Source organism: Homo sapiens, chromosome 10, assembly GCF_000001405.40.
Source record: "Homo sapiens chromosome 10, GRCh38.p14 Primary Assembly".
Classification (NCBI taxonomy): Eukaryota; Metazoa; Chordata; class Mammalia; order Primates; family Hominidae; genus Homo; species Homo sapiens.
The window spans coordinates 16858060-16880778 of record NC_000010.11 but is presented as its reverse complement, the minus strand read 5'-3'; the positions used below and the strand labels follow the sequence as shown (position 1 = coordinate 16880778).

Genomic DNA, 22719 nt, shown 5'->3' with positions numbered 1-22719 from the left:
GATACCTCAAGATTTCTGCAGGCTGAATAGAAACTTAGCGAAGGAGCTGAATGTATTCTTAAAATGATTTAAGAATGTGTGGTAACTCTTTAATGCACAGAGATGCTTTTTAAAAGTATTTGTCAAGATTCTTTGAATGGCAAGTTATCTTCAAAAGTTAGCTTAGATACAAAGTAGGGTTTATAAGAAGGATACTGGGTGATTTCATCTCATCAAAGGAAGGGCTTCTAGAACAAAGGAAACCAGGGACAAGAATCTGTCAGCATGCTCTCTCTTCCCCGCTCTTTTTGCTGATTGCTGCACAACTTCTTTTTCCCTTACGGCAGCCTGGCTTCCTTAATGTGTCAGGAAACATGGCTGCAGACATTTTTTAAGTTTAGTATCTTTGGCTCCTACCATTGACTCTTACTCAGTTGCAGTTTGGACACATCTGATTGGCCTGGATTGGGTCTGATGCCATGCCTTGCCATTGATTGACTGGAATTATCAATCAGTCAATCAATCAACCATGGTCAGGATGGTGGGGTTGTATAAACAATAGCAACAGTGACTCTAATCATGAAAATATCTACCATATCCATTAGGAGGTTTTATGGCACAATTAACAGGAAACTTGATTCAACCTGGTTTAAACACAAAGGAGCAATTCATTGGTTTTTAATTCTGGAAGGTTTCAAAGTTGGGTGTGCCTCAAATCTCTCAATTCAGCATTTTAATTATGTCATCAAATATTCAACTGTTTCTGTTTTTACTTTGTGCTACTCCAGTGTGAGCCTCATCCTAAGGCTGGCTCCTCTCATTGCTGTAGGGGTGCTGCTCTCACAGTGGGTACTCCTCACCCACATCAGAAAGAGAGATGGCTTCTATCCTGTGGTAAGCTAGAGTTGGGTTGCACCATCTTGCAAGAGTCAATTTTGCTCATCTATTCCTATTCTGCATTTAATGACTTGTTGTTAATAGCTTGAAATTGGCTATCGTGGGAGTATTTATACGATGGAAATTGGCAAATGCCACAAATCTCTCGGAGAGTTGGTTGTTATATTTACCAGCATACTACTACCTCTATTCCAACTTCCAAATATCAAACAAGGGTGTTGAAATTCACCTTTATTGGACTGGATTGGGTCACACACCCACCTTTGAACCAAGGTCTATGGCCAGGGGACTTGGAATTATAAAGTAAGTGTGCATAACGATTTTGTCAGCGTGCTCTTGTAGGAAGAGTATTCTAACAGCAAACAGCAAACAGGATGTCTGATTTCAGAGTCCACCGTGCCATAGCATGTGCTTATATAAAATAATGTAGTTTGGGTCATTCCCAATGGGGCATTTGTAAGTAAGTAAATTTTGTGTGTTGGGGTGATGTGGATCATTAGATATATGTTCAAGTTAGCATCGCCATGAAATAAAAGCATTTTGTTCTTGTGGCTTGTAAATGAAAATGGGAAAATATTTCACATTGTTAATCATCAGAGCAATTAAAATTAAATATCACAATGAAGTTTCGTTTCGCATGCACCAGAATGGCTAAAATTAAAAAGACTGACAATGTCAAATGTTGGCATCCCTGCAGAGCACTGGAAGTCCCACACATCCCTGGTGAGAATGTATACTGATGTAACTACTATGAGATATAGTTTGGCAGTTTCTTGTAAAATTAAATACATACCTAATTTGGGGGCTAATAATTTCACTCCCATTTATATACCCAAAGGAACTGAAAGCATGTGCCCACACAAAATCTCATGCATGAATGTTCATAGCAGCATTATCCATAATAGCCAAAAGGTGGAAACAAACCAAATGTCTGTCAACTGATGAATAGATAAACAACATGTGCTATCACTATAAAAAGGAAAATATTCAGCCATAAAGAGGAATGACATACTGACACATGCTACTACATGGATGGACTCAAAAACATTATATTAAGTGAAAGAAGCCAGCCACAAAAGGTCACATATTGCATGATTTTATTCATGTGAAATGTCCGGAGTAGACAAATCCATAGAGGCGGAAAGTAGTTTAGTAATTATGTAGGGCAGGAGACCATATACAGGAAGGATGAGACTGGAGTGATTGTTAATGGGCATAACATTTTCCTATGGGCAATGAAAATGTAGAATTGGGAAGAATGTCAGATGCCAAAAATGTTGTGGGAGAGTAAGTCGGCAACACCAATCTAGGGATCATTTGGTAACCTGAAAAATAGTCTTACCTTAGTGCCAGTATCTAACTTCTGAAAACTTATTCTGATGAAATGATGAAAAACTTCCTCAAATATTTATGTACAGGAATGTTTGTTTCAACAATATTTTTATTTACAGAAATGTGGAGAATATAGAATTTCAAGCAATAGGGGATTGATGGAATGTGGATGGCACATCTATATGTTGGAATTTGATATAGGCATTAATATATTATGTTGGTGCAAAAGTTAGGCTGGTTTTTTTCCTTTCCTTTCATAATAATATAATGTTTTATTTTATTTGAGATGGAGTCTTGTGCTATCACCCAGGCTGGAGTGAAGTGGCGCGATCTCAGCTCACTGTAACTTCTGCCTTCCAGGTTCAAGCGATTCTCTTGCCTCAGCCTCCTGAGTAGCTGGGACTACAGGCGCGCACCACCACACCTGACTAATTTTTGTATTTTTAGTAGAGACAGGGTTTTGCCGTGTTGCCCAGGCTGGCCTCGAATTCCTGAACTCAGGTGATCCGCCCGCCTAGGCCTCCCAAAGTGCTGGGATTATAGGCGTGAGCCACCATGTCTGGCCCTAATATAATGTTTTAGAAGAATATTTAATCACATACAAATGCATGATGGATGTAATTTCATATTGATACAAATTAGGTTACCATATGGGTGTCATTTCCTATTAATACAAATTAGGTATGATCCAAGTTAATATTTTAACAGTATGTGTTCACCTACAAAAATCACTGGATATGTTGTAGTGGACACATATCTTTTTAATTTCTTGTTTATTTTGTTTTATATTTTTCTTTGGGGGATGGTAGGCTGGAGCATATATTCACATTATAATTGGCAAACAAAACAATAATATATATTTTATAGTCCTTAAACACTAATAGTGTTTGTGTGAACATCTAAAATGGTTGTTCAATAAACATTAAGGAGTTTCTAATGATATCTCCATGATAGGAGTCCCTTATCTGGACATAAGCTTGGAGCAAGTTTTCTCAGTAGCAGCGCTATTGACATGTTGGGCTAGGTAGTTTTTTGTGGGTCCCAGAGGGTCCGGGGTGTAGGTGCTGCCCTGTGTATAGCAGCATCTTCAGGAGCAACCCTGGTCTCTACTCCACTCTACAGTGTGACAGCAAAAATGCCTTCAGATAGTGCCAGGTGTTCTTGGGGAGGCAACACGGTCCCCAGTTTACAGTCACTGAGTTAAAGGAACCGTTATCTAAAGAAAGGAAATTCTGAATTGTTTCAAGGTGGAAAGTGTCTACTGTGAAGTCCTACCTGTTTTATCATACCTGTGCTTGTTTTGTAGTTAGAGTAAACATTGTTTCAACAGGAAACTAAGTTAAATATCTCGTTTCTCATTTTAATTTTTATAGCAATTGCATGAGTCATCATCACATTTTTGTTTTTATTTTTATGGCCTTAATTGTTTGTGTAGGTTCTGATCATAATGCGGTTGTTCCATGCCTTTTCCAGCTCGTTCCGCTGTGACGGGAAGCTGTGTCAACGATGGCGTGCACATTATCAGAGGTTACAGCGTCATGTCCACCCCATTTGCTACTGTGTGTGGGGATGAGATGCCAGCTCCCCTCACCATCGCTGGGCCGGTTCTGCTTAACTTCTACTCCAACGAGCAAATCACAGACTTCGGATTCAAGTTTTCCTATAGGATAATCTGTGAGTAGCCATAATGACAGAGTTTGGAATTTTCTTCTTTTCTGAGTAATGTATACAAAGAGTTTTCACTGCGATTCATACAGCACTAACTTGAAGATTCAGAGAATTTAAGGGAAAAAGATTGTCAGTGAGGTTCATGGTTAAAAAATACATATACACATTTTTTCTTAAAAAGAAGAGGACCTTTTTCAGGAACTTTGGCTAGAACTACTCTGAAAATCAAATGAAGAATTGACATTTGTTTTGTAATTTAATTTAAATAAATACTACTGCTATTTTTTTGTTTTTCTTACCTTACACAAAGTTGCCTGTTGGTCCAAATTATCCAGATGCCTGTTTTGTTTCCCCAAGTCATTTTGCTAATACAAAAATTAATATTTTATATATTTAGAAGAAATATAAGAGAATGTCTTTACAGTCTGATAGGAAAGACTTTTTTAAAACACTATGCCCAAAACAAAAGCCCTAATGGAAAAGATTGATATATTCAACTATGCTATAATTTACAACTTCTCTGCATCAAAGGCAAAGAGAAAAGAGGAGCAATAGACTGGACAGAGGCATTTGTTGCTACCCAGAAAATTCTAAGATTGCATTTCCTGATCTTGAATAGTCTTTTCCCCTCCTGCCTGGTTAGTTTGCTGACAATATTTATGCACTATCTAATAGACATCTCAGCTGCAGTCAAACTGGCACACAAATCTTGTAACATCTTTCTTGAGTCTATTTCATCTTTGCTCCACCAAACCCATTGCTAAAGGTAGAAAGTTAAATAGTTTCCCTTGGAATAAATTATTGTTCCCATCTCCAGAGAAGACTAAAAACATGTATTTACTTCTGAAAAGGCCCTCCATAATTTGTTCACATTAGCTGCTATCGGCATCCTGACTCCCACAGTTTGTAAAGTATGACTACATATGGCTGTGTAGCTCTGTTGGCTCTAGCAGAATAGAACCACGCAATTAACGTTTCCTCTCCCGTCGTCTTGTTGAATAAAGAGAAGGATGGATTTGTTTTATTCTTTTGGCACAACTGCTGCTTTGGAGAGGTAAACTCCTGCTTTATATTCTTCTTCTCTTTAATCTCTCATTTTCCTACAAGGAAGTAGTCAAGATTCAATATATTCTAGTATAAGAGTCCCACTTAAAGAGTGTCGTTGATGTGAAGACTTCAAATGCTGATATTGTGCAAAGATGGGAGTTATTTAGGCCTTGATAAACTTCCAGAGACCACATAATTGTGTATAAAGTGAAAAGGAGTGATTGCTACCCTTATCTGACATGTAATTCACTTTTACAGATGGACCTGGGGGTCTGAACACACAAGTACTTACAGGCACATAGAGAAGAGTGCTCCCTGCAAGGTGGGCTCAGTTGAGGCAAAAACAGTAAAGAAATAAAGAGCCTGACATGGCAGCCTCAATTTGTTCCTCATTTCTGAGGATGTAAAGTGGAACGTGTCCACTGATAGTGTATAAACCATGGAAATACTTCAAAATGCGTTAACCCCATTATAATTTTAGAATCATAAATATACATAGATAGGTCTTTCCACTGCAGGGAGAGTGATCATCAGGAGGTACAATCTGATCCTCATATGTAAACCCAAGCAAAAATAATCACTTTATATTGTGGATAAGAAGGCTTTATTACATTTTTATGTCTGTCGTTTTATTGACTAATGGATCTAGCTCAAGGCTCTGAGCTGTTAATTGCTGGAATCCTGGAGAGGAACGGGCCTGGCCTCCTCCTGCTTGTTGAGGATTGAGGATCAGTGATATTAATACAAACTGGGGCAAGTTTAGTCCTTACCAGTCTCACAACTGACTGCAAATCCACCAGACTGGAGAGCTATACATTTGAGCCCACAGAAGGAACTAAACTGGAAAGCTCCAAAAATGATTTCCAGTAGTTTACCATATAATATTCTATCCCTGACAGGAGAGACAGGGATCTCTATTATTTCAGATTTCCAGATCACAACCTTCCTAGATCTGTACGCCCAGAACATCATTCTGGCCGCCTTTTCCGTACTTCGTTACTGTTGTCATCCCTCTCTCAACCTGTCAATGAAATACAGCTAAGTGATGGTGAAATGTTCCTGCTCGTCATTTTCACTCTGGCCATTAATTTGACTCAGACTGATTCCTTTCCAAGATGAGCCTTTAAATATTCTTCCCTGTTTCTACCCTCTTGCTGTCTTTCATCTTCCTTCCTAGTGGAAAAATCAGAATTATGTGTAAACACAATGAAGGGAGATATAAGTCACTTTAAGAAAAATAATTATTACCTCTTTTAGGGAAAAATGTACAATAGTATAGAATCTCTTAAAATCATTTTTCCATGCTGGGACTAATCGTTGTTCTCTTCATATTCCCTTGTCTTCTGTTGCAGCCTGTGGTGGTGTGTTCAATTTCTCTTCTGGAATCATCACAAGTCCTGCCTATTCATACGCAGACTACCCAAATGATATGCACTGTCTGTATACCATCACCGTTAGTGACGACAAGGTGATCGAGCTCAAGTACGTAAGACAAATTGGCTTTCTTAAGAAAATCCTTTCAGCATTATTTATAGAAGAGCCATTCGTTTATTGATGGAGGGCACTGATTCTCATCGGCAGTCTGGAGGGAAATCTACACAGAGGAGTGATGTTCCTAGATGACAGTTCAACCTGGGAAATGACGCTCCCCCTCTCCACACAAGCCGGTAGTAACTAAGGGCAAAAAACAAGCACTCACCAGTTAAAACAGTCGTTATAGTTTCCCAACAATTGTGAAGGAGCATCATAACATGGATTGTCAAGGTATAATAAGCCCATCTTGAAATCAAAGGAGAGAGGAAGGGCAAGAGAAAGCAGTTGCCATGTGTTGGGTATTTATTATACACAAAGAACTTTGATTCACACGTGCCGTAATTGTCTCATTGTATTCTTAAAACAGTCATATGAGGTATATATAGATTCTAGATTGGGAATTGTATAGATTATTCCCATTTCACTGATGAGGAAACTGAGGCTCAGAAGGATCAAATTGCTTTCCAAAAGTAACACACACATAAAGAGTCAAAATGTGTATTCATGCCAGGCTTCCTCCAAACACCACATCCTCAATGTTTCCCAATACTGTCTCTCAAAGTATACATTTTCTTTTTTCTTTTCTTTTTTTTTTTTTTTTGAGAGAAGGTCTCACTTTGTCACCCAGGCTGGAGTGTAGTGGCACAATCTCGGCTCACTGCAACCTCTGCCTCCCAGGTTCAAGAGATTCTCCTACCTCAGCCTCCTGAGTAGCTGGGATTACAGGCAGGCGCCACCATGCCCTGCTCAGTTTTGTATTTCTGGTAGCGACGGGGTTTCACCATGTTGGTCATGCTGGTCTCGAACTCCTGACCTCAAGTGATCCTCCCGCCTCGGCCTCCCATGGTGCTGGGATTACAGGCATGAGCCACCGCACCCAGCCTCAAAGGATACATTTTCTAACTACTTAAGAAATCTATTTTTATACCTGTGTCAGAACACCTCTAAACTGATGCTATGAGAGATAGCTTGAGTCACTGGTCAATTTTCTTCCCAGTCTTACCTATTCCCAACAAGACTGATGAGGGCAATGCAACCTCCCACTCTCCAGAATGATAAAGTTCAAGACTGTTTTCACCTGACAGCCTATTTCAGTGATATACGTATGGCATGTGGTGGGAAACTCTGACAGTAATATTGTTCATGGTCATGTAGGACTTTCCATACAGAAGCCTGATGGGCTAAGACCACACCTACCTACCTACCTACCTACCTACCTCCCCTCTATTTGTCTGTGATCATTTTCTACCCTAAAGATTCTGTACTCCCTGCAGTTTACTTCCAGAGGCCTCATGTATCAGTTGGCTCTCCAAGTGAACAAGAGATGTCTTGATGAAAGACATCTCTCATCAAGCCTGATTTGGTTCCTGTATCAGGCGTTCTATAGGCTGGACCTCGAAGAAAACTGCAGCTCTTACCTGGACTATTTGTAGGAAAACAGAGTGTCTTTTAGGTCTTGGGGACAAAAGAACAGAAACTGTCAGATGGCCAGGAGCAGGAGTTCTGTGAAGTATGCCTGCACAGGCGTGAAAGTGTAAGGGGGAGCCATTTGCTACTGTGACTCACTATTTGTTTCTCATATGTGTAGGATTGATTATTGCCTTGTTCTGTTCAGGTTGCTTTAACAAAATATCATAAACTGGGTGGCTTATAAACAACAAAAGGCTGCAAAAGTCCAAGGTCGAGGCAGATTCGTTGTCTGGTGAGCTCCTGTTTTCTGGCTTATAGAAGGTACCTTCTTGCTGTGTCTTCATGAGCTGGAAGGGCCTCTTATAAAACACTAATCCCATTTGTGAGGGGTCCTCCCCCATGACCTAATCACCTCCCATAGGCCCCACTTCCTATACCATTAGCTTAGGGAACATATGAATTTAGGGGAACACAAACATTCCAACCATGGTATACATACCAACTCATAGAGGTATGTTATATATTCTCTCTCTCTTTATCTGTCTATCTATCTATATATATATGTATGTATACAATCTAAATGTATTTTTTCAGTTTTCAGCCTGGATCCTGGAGCTCACCATAATGAAATTTACATCTGCATGTTTATTTTATTTTACTTATTTATTTATTTGAGACTAGCTCTCACTCTGTCGCCCAGGCTGGAGTGCAGTGGCGTGATCTCAGCTCACTGCAACCTCCACCTGCTGGGTTCAAGCGATTCTCCCACCTTAGCCTCCTGAGTAGCTGGGACTACAGGTGTGTGCCACCAGCCTGGGTAATTTTTTCTTTTGTATATATATATATATTTAGTAGAGATGGAGTTTTGCCATGTTGGCCAGGCTGGTCTTGAATCCCTGACCTCAAGTGGTCCACCTGCCTCGGCCTCCCAAAGTGCTGGGATTGCAGGTGTGAGCCACCACACCCAGCCTACATCTGCAGGTTTAGAAAATTATTTATTGCGCACTAAGAGCCTACATTCTAGGAAACAGATAAGATTCTAGGTGTGGTAGAAGATGCAGACATTAATAAAAGGCTCTCAAAAGATTGTGGTTACACAAGCTTTTCTGTCAATGGGCTTTTCAGATCTCTTCTGTGCTCTCCTGGGAAAATGATGTAAAATAAAAAGCCAAAGCAGATTTAAGTCCTCTTAGAAACTCAGATTTTATCTCTCTTTGTGGATTCTTTTTGTGAAAAATAAATGTGTTGTCTGTAGAGAATTAAAATGAATACAGTGTTGTTGGAAATTATCTAGCTATTGTTCTTCCCTGATCTTTTACAATAACATTAAATGTTAAATGTGGTAAAAGAAAATCAATACGGTTTTCATCTTGTTCCTCATCAGTCTGAAAACCTTCAACCAACCAAAACCTTTTAGAAAAAAAACCAACAATTTTTTTTCTCAAGGCTGTTGAAAGGAAGCATTTATTATATATTTTATATATAAATATATATTATTTAGTCTATATTTTCAAAATTATTCCATATTATGGATTGTTTATTAGAGCTACTGCCAAAATAAATTGAAAATGCAGGCTGGGCATGGTGTCCCATGCCTGTAATCCCAGCACAGGGAGGCTGAGGCAGGCAGGTCACCTGAGGTCAGAAGTTCAAGACCAGCCTGGCCAACATGGCAGAAACCTCATCTCTACTAAAAAATATACATGTAATTAAAAAAAATAGCCAGGCATGGTGGTGGACACCTGTAATCCCAGCTACTCGGGAGGGTGAGGCAAGAGAATCACTTGAACCAGGGAGGCAGAGGTTGCAGTGAGCTGAGATTGTGCCACTGCACTCCAGCCTGTGCAACAGAGTGAGACTCTGTCTCAAAAAAAAAAAGAAAAAGCAGAAGAACCTATAAAAATGAGGACAGGATATCAAATATTATTTTTTTAAACAAGTTTTAAAAATAAGCTATAATAAACCCACCACAAAACTCTAAAGTAAATCCATGTAAGAAGCCTTGCTTGTTCAGGAACTCTAGAAATCGTTATTTGAAATGACAAAGAATAAGACCTGAATTAAACACTGTATAAGACAGAGAAAAGTTAGGGATGCATCTGTCAGGATAGGTTATGCACATAGTAACAAACAACTCCACCTCACAGCAGCTTAACTCAACAAGTTGATTTCTCATTGTAATGAGCATGTTCAGTGTGGCCTGGCATGGAAGCTCTGCTCATCGTGGTCATCCAACAACCCAGGCTGATGGAAGCTTCGTTTTTACATTTGCTTCCATGATCATCACTGCAGTGGGAAGGCAGTGTGGCAAAGCAAGTAGTCATTTGTAAAGCTTCTTCCGTAAAGTAATATGTATCCCTTCTGCTTACATTTCTGTGGTCAAAGCAACTCCTAGCAGCCATGTCAAGCCTCAAAGTGTGCCCCTAGGGCAATCCTACCAGTGCTGGGGAGGCAGAGAGCTGGGACCATGTGCAGAAGTGTCAGTGACCACCACAGAGGTCTTAAATGTAAATTTCCTGTTCTTCACCTGACCTTAACATAAACTTCATTTTAAAAGAGGAAAATGAGACTGTGAGGAGAATGGAGCTGTGATTCTAAAAGCAGCATTTCTTCTATTATATTAACATGCTTCCCATAAGTTCTACTTCATCTCATAAAATAACAAGGGAAGAGTAAATATGGTATTTTTAATGAGACCTAAAAAACTAAAGTATTGCTGGGATAGTAAATATCAGTTCAACTTGTCAAAAGTTGTTCTCAGATGGACTTTAATATGCCCTAGACTGTGAATTCCTTGAAAAGTAAGACTGTATCTTACTCACTTTGACATCCCCAGCTGCTGTCACAGTTTTTGTTGTATTGTAATTACTAAAAACAAATTTGGCTAAACTTTTGAACTGATCAGTAAAGTACTGTTTGATTTCTAATATTTCATATCAAGTGAGTTTTGAATGCTCTACTGGTAGTTTTTTCCTTGTCATTTTTTTTGCAAGAGCTAAAGCTACAATTTAATAGAAGTCCAAATGGAAACATCAGTATTAACAAGGTACATTTCACAGGTTCAGTGATTTTGATGTGGTTCCCTCCACCTCCTGCTCCCATGACTACCTGGCAATTTACGATGGTGCCAATACCAGCGATCCCCTTCTTGGCAAATTCTGCGGTTCCAAGCGCCCACCAAATGTGAAGAGCAGCAATAATAGTATGCTCCTGGTGTTCAAGACAGATTCATTTCAGACAGCAAAAGGCTGGAAGATGTCTTTCCGGCAGACATTGGGTAAGAATTCTGGACTTGTAAATCTATTTGTCAGGACTGTTACCTTTCTGCTTTATTTAATTTCCCCGCCCCCCCCCCACCCCCACCTGATTATGATTGCTTTTCCTTGAAGCTTAGAAGAATATGCCATGTAAGGGCTTGGTTTTAAAACTTACGTATGACATATTTTAATGTTGTAAAAAAATCACTCAACAAATGTACCCAGCACTTTGGGAGGTTGAGGCGGGTGGATCACCTGAGGTCAGGAGTTCAAGACCAGCCTGGCCAACATGGTGAAACCCCATCTCTACAAAAATACAAAAATTAGCTGGGCATGGTGGTGTGTGCCTGTAATCCCAGCTACGCAGGAGGCTGAGGTGGGAGAATTGCTTGAACCCAGGAGATGGAGGTTGCAGTGGGCCAAAATCATACCATTGCACTCTAGCCTGGGTGACAGAATGAGACTCTGTCTCAAAAAAAAAAAAAAAAAAATCACTTTGGTAGCACAGTGGAGGAAGGCTAGAAGAACCTACAACATGGGAAGGAAGAAGCTTATGATAGAAATCTAGATGGGAAGTGTCAAAGCCTTGAACGGACCCAGAGGGGAAAGAGATAAAGGGAAGGGCAGAAATCTGAGAGACGGAAGGCAGAATACATTGGAAGCACAGTGTTTGGACTCTGATGATATTTTAATGAGGACATGAATTGAGGATGACTTTCTATAGGTAATTTGTTGGATGATGGTGGCTTAGGAGACTAAGATTTAAGGGAGAAATGTTTTATTTAATTTGGAGTATTTTAAGTTGGAAGACCTGTTTAAATGGAGCTGTCTAGTTGGAAGCTGATGCTTGAGAAGGAATTTGGACTGGAGAGGGTGATGTAGCGGGGGTAGGTAAAGTTAGGTGAGAGGATAAACTGAAAATATGCCCCAGATTACTCCCACTGCATGTGAGAAATAAATTATCCACATCAAACACCACTGGTGAGAAATACCCATATCAAATTAACTCAGAATTTTGAATAATTTAAAATAAAAGGTAGTTAATCAATTACCTGTTTGGCTATTCTAACAGCATCAGTGACACAGTCTAAGATCATTAATATTCGACTCTGGAAAGTGTTTTGATCCTTTTCCTTTTGAATATAGATGTGATTAATGTTCTAAAAATGCACAACTCTCCAAACAAATCTCATACTCTGTGAAGACTCAGAAAAATCCAGGCAGTTTTCTGTAATAATAACCCTGATTCACTTTTCAAACTTTCTGTTTCTTCCATAGTGTGGATAAACTTCGTTTCTCTGATGCAAAACGGAGTTTACCTTCAACTTCTTGATATTGGGCATGTGAATTTTTCCATGCAGTACTTGAGGAAAGCAATTAGACATTGTGTTTTGAAGGCTTCCCGGTAAACCACACACCTCAAGACAAATTGTATCAGAAAATCCCTTTGCCACCTCCCCTACTTAGCTGTCTCAACAGTAACTTGAAAGCAAGTCTCACGGGCAGTGAGAGAGTGTTGCCTTAACAGAATTGTGTAGGTGAAGTAGCATACAAAAGCCAGAAGGCTATTTTGAAAGAAAAATTAATTTTCCTTTGGAGATTTTTTTTTGCACAAAAAAGGGATATATTCTTGCCTTTAGCACAGACTTTAGACCAAATGTCCTATGTCTGCATTTGCTTTGCTACCTTTCAAGTTGTTTTTCTTTTTCCTAATATAGTCTCACAAGAAAATGGTAATTGTTGTGTTAACAATCTCCTCACTGCTATCATCTGCATGAAGCTTCTCAAGTGAGCCAGGGTTCCCTAGCCTCATTAAATTACCATGTCTTTCCAAGCCACAAAGAAGACATTTTTAGACCTATTGTGATTTAACAGAAGGAAAAGTCTTACACTGTCAGAAGCATTCTCTATGCACGAGTCATTGAACAATTACAGTCACTTACTGTTTTCCTCTGGCCACAGTTAGGGAAAAGGTTTAAGTGGAGAATGTAGAAACGGAACTCCTTGCCAGCATTGTGTTACCCCTGTATTTCATGAAGATGATTTTTACCTCTTTTTCATCTGCATAAATGCCATCAGCCACTTGGAAATACTTCAAGTCATTGTAACTACTCTTTGATGGTAATGTTTAAGTGAAAACCTAAGTATTATGATTTTGCATTGCAGTGGTCTTACAAAGCTTTCAAGACCACACACTGACAAGTTTATTGATCATTCTGCATAACTTTCAAATTTTGTTTCATTTTGGTTTTTATTGTTTGTAGTGAGGAGAGGGGGAAGGAACAATAAGAATAGCTTTGACTGTAAGGTTTATAGGGTCGTTTAGTTATAGCTTTGGATGAAGACAAACTTGGCTAATAGGATGCCCCTTTTGCCTCCAACTCATTTATGTAAAACAACTCTGTCTTTCCCCTGAAGAGAGGGAAATCAACTTTGTGGACCAGATAGTGGATTTTCATTTACAAAGCTGTTTGCTCAGCCTGGAAAACAATATCTTCACTTAGTAAATAATTGATGTGAAGAGGAGACCATTTTAGTCTATGACATTTCCGTTTCGATCTTAACTAAAACACTAAGTAGGGTTTTGCAGATTTGCTATTTAGATTATACACTTGGCAATGTTTTATGTACATCTGCTTCAATTTTTCAGGATGAAGAGATTGGCTTATATAATTATGTGACTATTAGGTTCAATTCGCCTTGTGCATTTGTTATATTTGTATTGCTAGCGAGTCACAGCAAATTTGGGGGAACTATCCCTAGTTGCTAATTACTAAATATGTAGTGAAATTGGGTCTCCTTTTTCCTCGGAACTTCTGCTGCTGGAGGCCCATATGCATGGATGCAAGGTAAGGAGAAAGCACATTTGGCAAGCATGAGCTGATCTCTAACTGCAATGGAAATGTGCCTGCTTGTCTCCCCCCTGTGCTCCAATGCTATATGAATAATTGATCCTGAATGGCTGACAACCAGCAAAATGATCACACTGGGCTGCAGCAATCTGTGAAACTCTGAAATAATCTGCAAATCGGAGCATTTTTCCTAACCGAGTTCATAGTTTGCATCAGATTGTCAATGGCTTCTATGCTCCTATAAAGTTTAAAAAGCTGTTGGTTCTGTGGATTTGGCTAAGTGGGCATGGCCTATAGGCAGAACGGATGCTTTTAAGTACCTTCTGTCCTGTTAACTTCTGCTAGTTTAGTTGCTGCCCCTTCCTTTACCAGCAGGGTCGTCTCCTGCCTTGACTCTGTTTATGTGTGTCCTGTACAAATCACTTCACACTTGCAAACGTATTTTTAACCATCAGAGCCTCCAGTTCTTCCTGAGGGGGTCTCATACCAGAGAGTTGCTTGGCCTATTCACAATATGCATGTCACACTACACATCAAACTTCTACACATAGGGTTAGATCAGGGGCTTTCAGTAAACTTATTTATTTACTGTGCAGTAGCATCATTGTTTCATTTTTTTTTTCTAAAATGATGTATTCTATAACACTTCAGCAAAACTTCAGTGTAGAAAATGGAACTTGGCTCTATTAGATGGGAGGTCTGCAGGCATTTCAATTAGTGAGTTGCCAAGGAGAGACTGAGGGGTGTCCCCTGCAAGACAGCAGGGGGACAGACAGCACAGGAAGACAGATGGGGAAGACGCACCCTCAGGGACAAGTGGTGGCAGTGCCTGTGTTTCTGGAGTTGGTTCCTTCTGGTGGGTTTGTGGTCTCACTGACTTCAAGAATGAAGCCATGGACCTTCGTGGTGAGTGTTACAGCTCTTAAAATTGGCATGGACCCAAAGAGTGAGCGGTAGCAGGGTTTATTGTAAAGAGCAAAAAAACAAAACTTCCGCAGCGTGGAAGGGTACCCGAGCAGGTTGCGGCTGCTGGCTGGGGTGGCCAGCTTTTATTCCCTTATTGCCCCCTCCCATGTTCCATTTTTGTCCTATCAGAGTGCCCTTTTTTCAATCCTCCCTGTGATTGGGTACTTTTAGGATCCTGCTGATTGGTGCATTTTACAGAGCGTTGATTGGTGCATTTTACAATCCTCTTGCTAGCTACAGAGCGCTGATTGGTGCATTTTACAATCCTCTTGTAAGACAGAAAAGTTCTCCAAGTCCCCACTTGACCCAGGAAGTCCAACTGGCTTCACCTCTCACCTGGACTCAAAGCTCCCAGCCAGCCCCTGTTGCCCAGAGCACACATGCTGATGACGAGGGCCACTGTCTGCCTTCCTCCACCTGGGGTATTTGTCACATGGAGACTGAGTCAGGTTGCATTAAGGTCAGTTCAGAGACCTTTGCTAAGAGACCAAGGCAAAAATACCCAAGCACATATATAACAAGGACAGAATGAATTACAGTCCAACAAATGTATAAATATGTTCAGGTAGGCTGGGCACGGTGGCTCACGCCTGTAATACTGGCACTTTAGGAGGCTGAGGCAGGCAGATCACTTGAGGTCAGGAGTCCAAGACCAGCCTGGCCTACATGGTGAAACCCCGTCTCTACTAAAAATACAAAAAATTAGCCAGGCATGGTGGTGCATGCTTACAAACCCAGCTACTTGGGAGGCTGAGGCAGGAGAATCACTTGAACCCAGGAGGCAGAGGTTGCAGTGACCCAGTGACCCAAGATAGCACCATTGCACTCCAGCCTGGGCAACAAGAGCAAAACTCCGTCCCAAAAAAAAAAAAAAAAAAAAAAAAAAAAAGCTGGGCATGGTGGCTCACGCCTGTAATCTCAGCACTTTGGGAGGCCGAGGTGTGTGAATCACCTGAGGTCGGGAGTTCGAGGCCAGCTTGACCAACATGGAGAAACCCTGTCTCTACTAAAAATACAAAATTAGTCAGGCATGGTGGCACATGCCTGTAATCCCAGCTACTCGGGAGGCTGAGGCAGGAGAATCGCTTGAACCTGGGAGGTGAAGGTTGTGGTGAGCCAAGATTGTGCCCAGCCTGAGGAACAAGAGCAAAAAAATCCATCTAAAAAAAAAAAAAAAAAAGAAAGAAAAAAAGACATATGGCCAGATGGAAAGAGCTGATTGATGCATGATATCATTGCTTGGTGATACGGCTTTAGAAAAGCCCTATAACGTTTTGAATCTCAATTTTTATCTACTAAAAAACTGATCAATTTGAAATATTACAACTATTTAAGAATGTGATGGGGATAAAGCAGATAATTTCTGGAAAGCACCTTAGCTGTCAGAGTGAAAGACTCTATGTATTAGAAAGTAATATTGAAGTCCCAAATTTTCAAGCCCCCCGCCCAACCCTATTTCCAAGGTTGGAGGGTGGCTGAGGGTGGGGTGGGCAGGGATCAACATTCTCAACAGGACCACATCATGCTACAGTGATTTTTCGTTCTTTCCTACCCACTTTGCAGTGACACCTAACCGTCAAATCCTAAAGTACATTTTATAACCTAAATCTGAAATCAAAAGCTACATTCTGATTAAATCCCCAGGCCTTGCACAATTGTTACTCCATCGATATTGTCCATATGAGTGATTTACAGAATAAATGGATAAATTGTGCCTACTTCAAAATCATATTTTATAATGAGATATAATAATATACCATATAGAACACATTAGATTTTATCTAGATTCAGCTCATTCTCAAAATTCAATCCTGGTTTATATAATTGTTGGGTAAGCTCTACACAGGGAGGTAAATTGAATCACTTTCATCTTCAGAGAATTAGGAATACCGGATCACACTCAATATTTAGGTCATCTGTGTTTCTCTCCTGTGAGTTTTTGCCTGTTACCTTAACATCTGGAAAATGTCTCTCAAACACGTTAAATGAAGACAGTGGGAGTGGCAGAAGGAAGTTGAAGGGGATAAAAAAGAAGGAAACAGGAAAGAAAGAAAGAAGGAGACAGAGAAAGCTGAAGAGAGTCTAGGGCCACAAAGATGGAAAACATGGTCACAACAAATGGAAAAAAAAATCTAACATGTCCAATTCAGACTTCTGCTTCTAGTTATTTTTAAGTTTCCCAGTTTTGGTGTTAAATTTAAACTTTGTGAGGCATTCTAAAATAGCTAAACAATACAAGAATAAACTTAAAAATTCAATGGCATAAAAAATATATGTATATGTCTCTAGGTACCTCTTGGTGGCCTGATTGAAGTTGTCAGCTCACGTTACTGTTAGAAGTACAAATGTAATAAGGAAGTTGAATTATAACTTGAATAATTGGATAAATCACTGATCAAACAACTCTCAGTTTAGCAATAATGAGGGTATTGCTCCAAAGCAACCATGGAATGTCATTTTTCTGGTTTCCTAATGTCATTTGCTCCCTGTGATGAAGTCTGAGAATGAGATGAGCTGAAACTGTAAACCCATTTAAAGAAAAACCCAACTAAGCTTATTTCCGCTCTTTTTAAGCCCTGTACCTTTTACTGGTGATTAGACTTCCCTTGGGGGATGATCCTAAAGACAAGGTTATCTTCACGTTATTCTTTGTGGGTTTTATGGGGAAAGGTTTTTTGCTGAGCTGAGAATGTGGGAACGGGATAAAGAAACCAACAAATGCTTAGTTCACCAAAACTTTACAAAAGCAAGTAGACAGGAGTTAAATACCAAATCAGCAAGAAGAAAGGAAAGGTTCTTAATAAACATATTTCAACACTGGAGTCTGTGCCCCCACCAATGACTAGATTGCCACTCCTGGTCTTGAAGGATGGGGCTGTCCTTGTGAAAATAAAACCACATGGTATTGTGGAGACCAAACTAAGTGATAAAATTGAGTTAATGGTAAATTATAGGATAACATTTTGAAAAACACTGAAGGGAACAGGTGCTGGGAAGAAGCACTTATTATGTGTAATCTAAAACACAAGACGCGACCTAGTTTTGTCGCAGGTAACTGGTTATTTTGGGTTAAATTATTTGTACCCATAAATTCCCTATAATAATCAACATCCTTACTCAGATCAGCCTGGCTTTGTTATAGCATTCCCAGGAACATAAAAACAAAATATATGCAGTGAGCAATAAAAATTTTAAAACATTCTTTTGTTATAAATAAACTGTTAGGAAATATAATAGTGGGACCGTGTTCTTCTCTTCATTCTAATATGTGAAAAGTCTGTTAACATTACATGGTAGCTGTACATTTTGCTCACTCACAAGTAAAGACTTGTCAGGAAATCCCAGGGCATCGTGAAAATCACTGCTTGTCCCTGAACCTGTGCCCTACCAGATGTAGCATGAGCTGCTTGATGTATATTACTTTATCTAATCCTCAGAGCTACCAGATGAGACAGGAATTACCCCATTTTACAAAGGAAGAAAGAAAAATTTAAGAGATTAAGTAATTTGTCTGTGGTCCAAAGGGTTTGTAAGAGGTAAAGCCAGGCTTTGAACATGAGTTTGACTGTCCCCCAAACTCCTGATTTTCTTAGTAAGCCTTCATTGCCTCTGTGGCAATTGATAAAAATACCCAGGGATGTGATGTGTGTGTGTGTGTGTGTGTGTGTGTGTGTGTGAGAGAGAGAGAGAGAGACGGAGTCTCACTCTGTTGCCAGGCTGGAGTGCAATGGCGTGATCTCCGCTCACTGCAACCTCCTTCTCCCAGGTTCAAGCAATTCTCCTGCCTCAGCCCCTTGAGTAGCTGGGATTACCCGCGCATGCAACCACGCCTGGCTAAGTTTTGTATTTTTAGTGGAGACGGGCTTTCACCATGTTGGTCAGGCTGGTCTCGAACTCCTGACCTCATGATCCACCCTCCTCAGGCTCCCAAAGTGCTGGGATTACAGGTGTGAGCCACTGCGCCCAGCCCCCAGGGATTCTTTTTAACAGAAATGTATGCAAAAGGGCACTGGAAGCAAGAAAGAAGGGATCTATGGTACTTGGATGTTCCGTGGAAGAAAGGACACAGGACTGTTAGAGGATGCACCTCAGAGAATGTGAGTCCTGAATTATGGTGCAGTGGGTAAGAGGGTAAACGTGGAGCATCACATCCCAGATTCAAACTCAGTTTGTACATCTCATTGAGGTCGATCTTGGACAATTTACTTATCCACTCTGAGTCTTGATTTTTTTTTTTATCTGTAAAAACAGTACACTAATAATAATGACCTTATAGGGTTCAGTGATTAAATTAGAAAATACTTGTCACTCATTTCACATGCGAGAATTTTTAGCTATAAATAGTATTATTTTGGAAGGATAAGAAGGCATTCATTGGCCAGGCATGCTGGCTCACGCCTGTAATCCCAGCGCTTGGGAGGCTGAGGCGGGCTGATCACCTGAGGTCAGGAGTTTGAGACCAGCCTGGCCAACATGGTGAAACCCCATCTCTACCAAAGAATACAAAAATTAGCTAGGCTTGGTGGCACACACCTGTAGTCCCAGCTACTCGGGCAGCTGAAGCAGGAGAATCCCTTGAACCTGGGAGGCAGAGGTTGCAGTGAGTGGAGATCACAGCACTGCACTCCAGCCTGGGTGACAGAGTGAAACTCTATCTCAAAAAAAAAAAAAAGGCATTCATTGGGAAAATGGACAATCTATGGAGAAATAAAACACATGCACAAAGTTACAGGTGCATCCCATTTCAATGGATGCCAGCTAACCTGAACATTGGTAATGCTTTGGGGCATAAGGCAGAGAACAATAGGTGCTGAGAGAGGAGAGATATGCAAAGGCCAGGCATGGAGGGCTCTGTATCATGTGCAAAGAGGAGCCAGTCATTGTTTTGAGCTGGAGCGTGCTATCATCTGGTCAGATTTATTTTAGAAAGCACATCCCAGCACCTGTGGGGATGATGTTTTGAAGCAGCATTCCAGGGAAAAAGTTAGAAAAGTATTGCAATAGTTTAGGCATGGGATGATAAGAGCAGTGGTACCATGAAAATAAAGAAAGAGACTGAAAGGAGAAATCCTCAAGATATAGAATCAATAACACAGTGTTCCATTTGAGAGAAGCAGCTTGGGAAGAAGAAATAATAATGCTCCTAAGGTTTCTGGACAATGTCTTGTGACACCACTATTCAAATAGAAAATTACTAGGAGAGGACAGTGCTTTGCAGAATAAAATAATAAAAATGTTGGGTTTTGTCTGGAGAATTTGATGCCTTTAGGATATCCAGCTAGTGATCAGTAGGTAGTCAGATAAGAGAGTTAGAAGCTCAGTAGAAACATCTTGGCTGGAGTTTTGCTCTTTTTTATTTTGAAGCCATATAATGTGGCACATGTACATTTATAATTATTATATCTTTCTAGTGGATTGACTGATACCATTATGTAACAACGTTTTTAAATGCTTTTTGCCTTAATTTCTACTTGTTCTGATTTAGTATAACTTCCATAGCTTTCTTTTGATTCATATTTGCGTGATATGTTTTTAAACCCTTTTATTTTCAACTTGTCTCTATCCTGAAGAATATATTTGGCTTTTGTTTGGCTATGCCTTTCTATTGAAGAATTTAATGTGTTTATATCTGATAAAATTACTAACAATATTAGTTTTAGATAGACCTTTGTACTATTTGTGTTTTGTTTGTCCCACTTCTTTTTGTTTTCCTTTAACTATCTTTTCTTTTTAAAATTAATCACTTTTTTATTACTCCCCTTTTAAAATTATTATTTATACATCCTGTGACTCTTGTTTCAGTAGTTACCTTAGAGATTACAGTATTCAACCTTAATATGTTAGAATCTAATTTAAAGTTGATACTTTTATCATGTTATAATCAATAATCAATCCAAGGACCTTGGAACATTTTAAACCCACTTACCCACTTCCTGTCTTTTGTGCTATCTATGCCAAGTATTTTAATTCTACGTACATAATAGGTACACAAAACATTTTTATTGTTTTATACAATTACTAATAATGTAAAATTACCCTTGCTGTTATTTTTCTTTTCTTCCTGAAATTCTATGCTTCCATATGGGATTAATGTATTTCTTTTGGAAGACCTCTCTTTTATGTTTCTTTCATTGGAGATCTTCTGGTAAAAAGTGTTCTTTGTTTTTGTTTTTCGAAAATGACTTGATTTTCTTAAATTCTGTGGGATTCTTGCTCTGAGTATAGAGTTCTAATTTGGCATTTATTTTCATTCAGGACTTTACGATGCTATTCCATCATGCTCTGGCTTGTATTATTTTGATTAGGAAGCCATTGCTTTCTATAACTGGGGACCCCCATCCCTCCCCTGGTCATCTCATTGTAGAGTACTGTTATTGTTGCTGTTGTTGTTATTTAATTTTATTTTAGCCATTCTGGTAGGTGTGTATTAATATCTCATGTGATTTTAATTTAATGGTGAACAATTTTCACGTGCTTTTCGTCATCTATATATCTATTCTCTGGTGAAATATCTATTTATATCTTTTACCCATTTTCTAATTGAATTGTTTATTTTTCTATTGTTGGGTTTTGAGAGCTTTTTATCTATTCTCAATCAATGATCCTTTGTCAGTATGTGGTTTGCAAATGTTATTTCCCAGTCTATATCTTGCCTTTTAATTTTCTTGCCTTATATTGGCCTTTCACTGAACAAAAGTTTTTAATGTTGAAGTTCAATTTATCGACTTTTTCTTTTATAGATCATGTTTTTGATACCAAGTCTAAGAATTCTTTGCCTACCCCAAGGTCCCAGAGATTATTCTGGTGTTTTCTTTTAAAAGTTTTATGATTTTACATTTTTCATTTGTGTCTATGATCCATTTTGAGCTCATTTTGGTTTAGATATGAGATTTAGGTGGAAGTCAGTTTTTTGCCTCTGGATGTCCAATTGCTCTAGCACCATTGGTTGAAAAGGCTGTCCTTCCTTCATTGAATTGCATTGGCACATTTGAAAAAAATCAGTTGGACATATTTGTATAGGTCTATTTCTGGGTTCTGTATTCTATTCCATTGATTATGTGTCTAACTCCTCACCAATATCACACTGTCTTGATTACTATAGCTACATGGTAAGCCTTAATATCAGGTGGAGTGATTCATCCCACTTCATTTTTCTTTGTGAAGTTGTTTTAGCTATTTGAAGGCCTGTGCCTTTCCATATAAATTTTAAAATAAAGGCTGGGGGCAGTGTCTCATGCCTGTAATCCCGGAGCTTTGGGAGACCAAGGTGGGAGGATCCCTTGAGGCCAGGAGTTCAAGACCAGCCTGGCCAATAATAGCAAGACCCTGTCTTCACCAAAAATAACAAAATTAGCCAGGCATGGTGGCATTTGCCTGTGGTCCTAGCTAACTGGGAGGCTGAGGTAGGAGGATCCCTTGAGCCCAGGAGTTCAAAGTTGCAGTGAGCTGTGATCACACCACTGCACTCCAGTCTGGGTGACAGAGCAAGCCTCTATCCTAAAAAAACGTAAATAAATAAAAATAAAAATAAGTTAAGCTTTTTGATGTTTGCAGAAAAACCTTGCTGAGATTTTTATAGGAATTGCATTAAATCTATCCATCAATTTGGGGAAAACTGATGTCTTTACTATGTTGAGTTTTCCAATCCATGAACATATATGTATCTAGACTTATTTAGGCCTTCTTTTATTTATTTCATTATTTTGTAATTTTCATCACATAAGCCTGTATCTGCTTCATTAAGTATATACCTAAATATTTCATTTTTTTGTAATGAT

At 39.4% G+C, this 22719-nt stretch overlaps 1 protein-coding gene across 4 annotated transcripts in view; it reads left to right on the top strand.

Moving 5' to 3' along the window:
- The window catches only part of CUBN (cubilin), a 305846-nt gene that overhangs the window by 249033 nt on the left and 34094 nt on the right, over positions 1 to 22719 (top strand). For all 4 annotated transcript variants that reach the window (NM_001081.4, XM_011519710.3, XM_011519709.3 and 1 more), the window contains 3 exons: positions 3682 to 3882; positions 6276 to 6405; positions 10926 to 11143. In NM_001081.4, the coding sequence (NP_001072.2) occupies positions 3682 to 3882; positions 6276 to 6405; positions 10926 to 11143 (549 nt within the window). The remainder of the gene's footprint in view (positions 1 to 3681; positions 3883 to 6275; positions 6406 to 10925; positions 11144 to 22719) is intronic.